At 39.2% G+C, this 6,278-nt stretch overlaps 1 non-coding gene across 1 annotated transcript; it reads right to left on the bottom strand.

The window, feature by feature from the left end:
* Positions 1–5,838: 5,838 nt before the first annotated feature.
* Positions 5,839–5,943, bottom strand: LOC124902088 (small nucleolar RNA U13). The gene has a single exon (XR_007061218.1). It is a non-coding gene; the product is annotated as a small nucleolar RNA U13 (small nucleolar RNA).
* Between the last annotated feature and the right edge of the window lie 335 nt (positions 5,944–6,278).

Here is a 6,278-nt window from a genome sequence, read left to right on the forward strand (position 1 = left end):
TAATTTTGTAGAAGTAATTTATCATATACTTGAAATAAGAAAAAAGTAGTAGAACTGGTGTTTGTGTGTCTTCTCTTTTTTCTTTTTAAGATATAACTGCTCTTTAGTCTGCTTATTTTTCGTTCTGTCATTATTTCAAAGGGAGACACTCTATCCTAGAGCCTTTGTATATAGTTATCTCGTGAGTACCATAAAAGCATTTAGTAGTCATTTTATTTCAGTGATAACAATTGTTAATTATATTCCTAAGGGAAGGAAAAATGCCTGAGGCCTCAAGTCACTGAATTATCAAGTACTTACATTTTCGAGGAATAAATGCCGAGATTGGACGCACGTTTTATTTTTCATACTAATGTTTGTCCCAAAACCTCCAGCACAGTAAAATCCATTCCCTGTAGGTGCTTCTCAAAAGCTTCTAATGCTACTTAAACTCTAAACTGCCTCCTCCTGGCCTTCTTTTCTCTAGGTCTCTGTCACTTATTCTTACTGAAAGCTACACTCTCTATGACTGTGACTTTGATATTAATTGAAGTCCCTTGTGTCTCCTTCTGGAGGGTATAGGACCTCCTGTAAAGTGTTTGAGCCTACCTTGTCAACAGTGGTGGCTGTCGCACTTCTCTGATAAGTTTAATCTCACATCTCATGATTATAGAAGAGTAGCAGAGTACAAAGGCAGCCAAAATATACGGTACATGATTAATAAGAAAAATATTACCAGCAATGCAACTTCCATGTGAAAAACTAACATGCTCACACACCACTCAACTAAGAAACACAGTTCATTTGATGCAATACTGGTGAAGATTGGACAATGTCCCAAATTAATCCATATTTTGTTTCCTGGCTCTCATTCTTCAAATTTCAGAAGGCAGTTATAATTTTCTTTGAACGATTTTTAAGATTTTATTATTTTGACTGTAACTCAAATTATCTGCCTTAGTATAGTGAACCTCACTTTGGGTCTCTATGTATCGGCCCAGCCATTGTTTTATGGACCGTGATTGTGAAGGGGCCATCCATTTTCTGACATGACCCCAGTATACACTCTCTCCACTGAATATTACCTGAAGCCACAGCCCTGGGTACCCTGTGGGTCACCAATTCTACCATGATTGATTTTAAATATGAATATACAACAGTCATAACTTTTATAATACGAAATGAATTTATAAAAGCTCTAAATGTGATTTCAGTCTTCCAAATCTACAGCTAATTTTTATCATGTTTGAACACAATGGAAATTGTCCTTACTCAGTGTGATCACATTTGCTTTCCACCCTTTTTTTTGCTTTGTGGATTTCTACATACATTCTTGTTTCTCTGTTCATGTGTTTTTGTTCTGTTTTCTTATTTTGTTTTATATTGGAACATCTAAATATTTGGGCAAGGATTCAGAACTATTTCACATGGAATGAATACTTCAGGTTTGGAACGTCCGTTCCTCCAGCAAAGATTTTCTGAATTGCTCTTCTCCTTTTCGGTGTGTTTTTCACACATGAATTGAGATCTTTCCCAATCTAATCACACAGAACTTTTTATCAGTTTCTGGAATGTGATATGGTCTCCTCATTTCTTGCCAACCCGTTCCCTCAGCCTGAAAATTTTTCCCTACTTCTCACTTGGCCTAACTCCTATTCTTAAGTTTTAATGTTGGTTCCTTTGTTAAAGCTGTCTCTCCCCATTCCTCTCTCTCTCCAAGTCCCTCCAAAAATACACAACATAGACTTAGAAACTTCCAGAAAGAGTTTCTCTATATCTGGGCCAGTTTGGCTGATCCTTTTTAGGAATCTAGACTCTTTCTCCTCTGGCTGGTGGGGCTGGAGGTGACCTCCCAAAGGTGGAGATGGGTGCAGGAAGGAGGTCTTTCCTCCTCCTCCGTGCAGTACCCACAAGGAGGACCCTTCTCAGCCAGAAAAAAAGGTGATTACAAGAAAGATACTTTGAAGGTGGCCTAGTCAGAAAATCAGAGTAAAATGAAGGCATATTTGTAAAGAAACAAAAGTAAAAGGAGATATTTTAAGCCAATGGCTCGGAGAACACAAAAGAAGGGGTGTTTCAGAAAGAGGAATGAATGATTTGATGATGAGTGCACTGGGGAAGGAATCCAAAAGTAATTTTGAAACAGCTGTAATTGCCAGTTAAGAGACGTTCCTGTTGTATTTCTTTCTTTCTTTTTTTTTTTTTTTTGAGACGGAGTCTCGCTCTGTCGCCCAGGCTGGAGTGCAGTGGCGCTATCTCGGCTCACTGCAAGCTCCGCCTCCTGGGTTCACGCCATTCTCCTGCCTCAGCCTCCCGAGTAGCTGGGATTACAGGCATGCAACACCACAGCTAATTTGTTTCTTTACAAATATGGCTTCATTTTAAAATATTCTAATGAGTTGCTGTTCTCCTTAGTGAACTTTCTGCCGAAGCTCTTTGTTATCCTTGCTCCAAGTCCTGGCTGAGTGTTCCCCAGGCCTGTGGCAAGGACATCCCTGCAATATCATCCAAGAATGCCCTGTTGGTGCTCTCAGTTGTTGCAGTTATTATTTCCTTAATCCTGTGCCTTCCTCTCTCTGGGTTTAATCATTAACAACAAAACGTTGTTGCAGTTTACCCTCAAGTAGCTTCCTAAGAAAGAATACATAAGTAAAATATCAGAGACAGCGCTTGTCTGTAAATGCTTGTCGTCTGTGTGTGTGTGTGTGAGAGAGAGAGTCTCACTCTGTCGCCCAGGCTGGAGTGCAGTGCCACAATCTCGGCTCACTGCTACCTCTGGCTCCCGGGTTCAAGCAATTATCCTGCCTCAGCCTCCCAAGTAGCTGGAATTACAGGCATGCACCACCACAGCCAGCTAATTTTTTTTTTTTTTTTTGTAGTTTTAGTAGAGACAGGGTTTCTCCATGTTGGCCAGGCTGGTCTCGAATTCTTGACCTCAGGCGATCTGCCTCGGCCTCCCAAAGTGCTAGAATTACAGGCATGAGCCACTGCGCCCTGTCTGTAAATGCTTTTAATCCTGCTGTCTGCTGATCAATGGTCTGGCTAGGCATATAATTCTAGGTTAAAATTTACTTCCTCTCCAAAATTTGAGAATATTCTTTATGAGCTTCTAGCATTGAAACTTGCTGTTAAAATGCGATATGTCATATGCCTCTCCATTCCTTTGTAAGGTGATGTTTATTTTCTCTGAAATTTTAGTTACTCCTCCTTACCCCTCTTGTGAAATTTCACAAAAAAATATGCCTTGGCGAGATTCCCTTTCCATGGGTTGCACTGGGCACTTGATGAGCCATTTCAATCAGTAGCATAATGCACATGCACTCTGGGAAATGTTCTTGTATGAGTGCTTTTATGGTGAATTACATATAATATTTAAGAATGAGGGTTCTAGAGTTCTGAAGCATTTACATTAGGTAGTTTAAAAATCTTTTTCTGCTACTCAACTTCTTATCTAAAAATTAGTATAATAATATAACCTACTTCATAGAGGTTCTCTGGATTAAATAAAAGAGGATGTGTAAAGCCCTTAGAATAATGATAGTCATCCATTTTTTATTTTAGACTTGAGTTTGAACATAGTGGATTGTGTTTTGTATGGAAGATATTATAGTTCACCAAAGAGAGATTAAGCATGACAAATCAAAGAGAAATATAATATATAATAGGGAATTTGGCTAAGGAAATGAGGAAACTGTTGCAGTTTTTAATTTCCTGGGCTTTGTTTCAAAGCACAATGGATGAGTTAACCAATATTCACTGAGTGGACGAAGCCTAGACTTCCAAATCCAGGCTCTTTTAGCAAACAATTTGATATGGACTAGTAAGGAAAAAAGAGGCTTCATGTACTTTTGTTTATATGAAGTCACATTTATCTAGCTGCCATTTACCACCTTGTCTTTCATGCTCTTTGCAGCTGGATAGGAACATTTCCAGGTAGTCTCATGAAACTTTTCTATGAAAGTCTCTTTTGATCCTTGGCCAAAGGGGAACCCTCACTTCACATAAGGATTTCACATGTCTTTTAGCAATGCCTGAGGAAGAGAACATAAAATCCATCACTCAGGGACATCATTTGGATTTGTGACTCTCTCTGGAGGCCAGTGTGCCCATAAAACAATGAATGGATCAGATCTATTCAAACGTGGAGTTTTTCATTTATGACAGATGTAATATTGATAATATCCTTCATTTAATAAGTCATCCAAGTATAATTCAATGCAAGTTCCTAGTATAAATTACCAGCCATATTCATCTTGCTTGACTGTTTTATAACACCAAAGAGGAGCGAGCAGAACTGCATAAAAATTCCATGTTGAAATTCCAAAGGAGAGCTGCTTCTGCAGCTGGCCCAGTTATTCCCCCTTTGAGAAGGGGCACAAATCTGGACTCTGCCAGAAAGCCAGATCATGTAAGCTCAGTTCAGTCTGACTGTGAGTGATTTGTGGCCAGACAGGTAACAGTGAGGAAAGGAAGGAATTCCTTTAAAAAACTATTGACTCTGTCCTCTTTCCTTTATCGCTACACAGCTCTTTCCCACTGTTTTCCCTGGTAATGGATTTCTGCCTAAGTCGCTGTGATTTAGAACATAGACAGCAATGTCTGGCCTTTTTAGAGCATGCAGATGCCTGTGGACTAACATGACCTAAGAATAGCAAGCGGAACCTCGCGAGAAATCAAACGCTAAATGAAGTGAATATTTTGATGAGAGTGTCAAATGTAGACATACATATTGTATGCAGTTATTAGATGATACAGAAGTAGGTAGAAAAAATCCACGTGAAATGCAGGGTTAGACCCAGAGTCCCTGTTTCCATTTCTCTTTCTATTTAGCCATCACAAACTGGCTCCATGTTACTAGTAGAACTGCCTCCTCCATAGTCACCACAGCATAGTAATGACCAAATAATTTTTTTCACCATTTTAGCTTGATCTTTCTGTTGCATTTGACCTGAGTCATCAAATCCATCTTCTTTAAATTTGTGTTTCTAAGATACAGTATATTTTAATACCTGCTATGTCTGAATCCTCTATTTCTGAGTTTCCTTGTTCTGCCTGATTAGCCCCTTTTGTCTGTGTAGAATCTAATTACGGATATGGGTGCTCAGGACCTTGTTTTTGCCTCATACTCTTTTCCACCACATTGTTGCAACATGAGAAATGATCAATGTCTTTTTCAAACCATCCATGATCACTTCTGTATGAGTGATTTAAAAATTCATATGTCTACCCCTACTTTGGAAGTATTTGACTCTTCTGCTTTCTTTAGGCCTCATATGAAGTTACCCGCTGAATCATGTTTGTTACGCCTCCAAAATATCTTCAGGAAGGCAGAATGATGGGAGACATCATTGTTGAGAGAATGAGCTTGGTAGTTACCTGAACCTTGGCTTTACTCCCAGACCTGGCCCTTGGTAGTTGTGTCTTAAGGCAAAGCTGCCAAACCAGCCTATTAAGCCCTCCAAGGGCTGTTGTGAGGATTAAATTTGATGATATCTGTAAATCACTTATTATAATTCTTAGCCCAGAATATATCCTCTATAACTTGTTCTCCTGGGTGATATACGATATGAAAGTTATCCTGTGTGATATGCTATATTCAGAAACTCAACATACTCTAAATGTATACATCTAAAATAGAATGTATGATATTTCCCTAGAACTGGCACCCTCACTCAAGTCTCTGTTTTAGTTAGTGGTATCACCTCCTTCCATTTCCTCACCTGAAATCTCAGTGCATGTGGCTTTCCCTCACGTCAGTACTCCATATGGAATGCTTTTCATAGCCACCTCCTTTTCTTCAGGGCTGCTTTCCAAGCCCACTCTGACATCACCTGAACTATTCCTTTTTGTTTTTTTTCATGCCAGATAGGTAATGTACCGATGTCGTAACAAGGTTTGAGGAAGGCACAACTCATACATGTGCGTGACAACCCATTCATCACACTTATTAACTAGAAAAAAGATCACTACTCCATTTTTTGCTTTTTCATTTTCCCACAAGGGTGCCAGGTTACTATCCAGCTACCCAGTGTTGACCTCTGAACTTGGAATTAATTTTCCAGAGAATAAAGGTGTTTAACAAAATGAACTCTTTTTAAATTTCATTTTTAAAAAGTTTTAATTTCCATAGGTTTTGGGGGAACAGGTGGTAGTTGGTTACATGAGTAGGTTTTTGAGTGGTGATTTGTAACATCTTGGTGCACCCATCACCCAAGCAGTATACAATGAACCCGATTTGTAGCCTTTTATCCCTCATCCCCTTCCCACCATTTCCGCCCTCCAAGTCTTCAAAGTCCATT

This window comes from Homo sapiens, chromosome 8, assembly GCF_000001405.40.
Source record: "Homo sapiens chromosome 8, GRCh38.p14 Primary Assembly".
In the NCBI taxonomy this organism is placed as follows: Eukaryota; Metazoa; Chordata; class Mammalia; order Primates; family Hominidae; genus Homo; species Homo sapiens.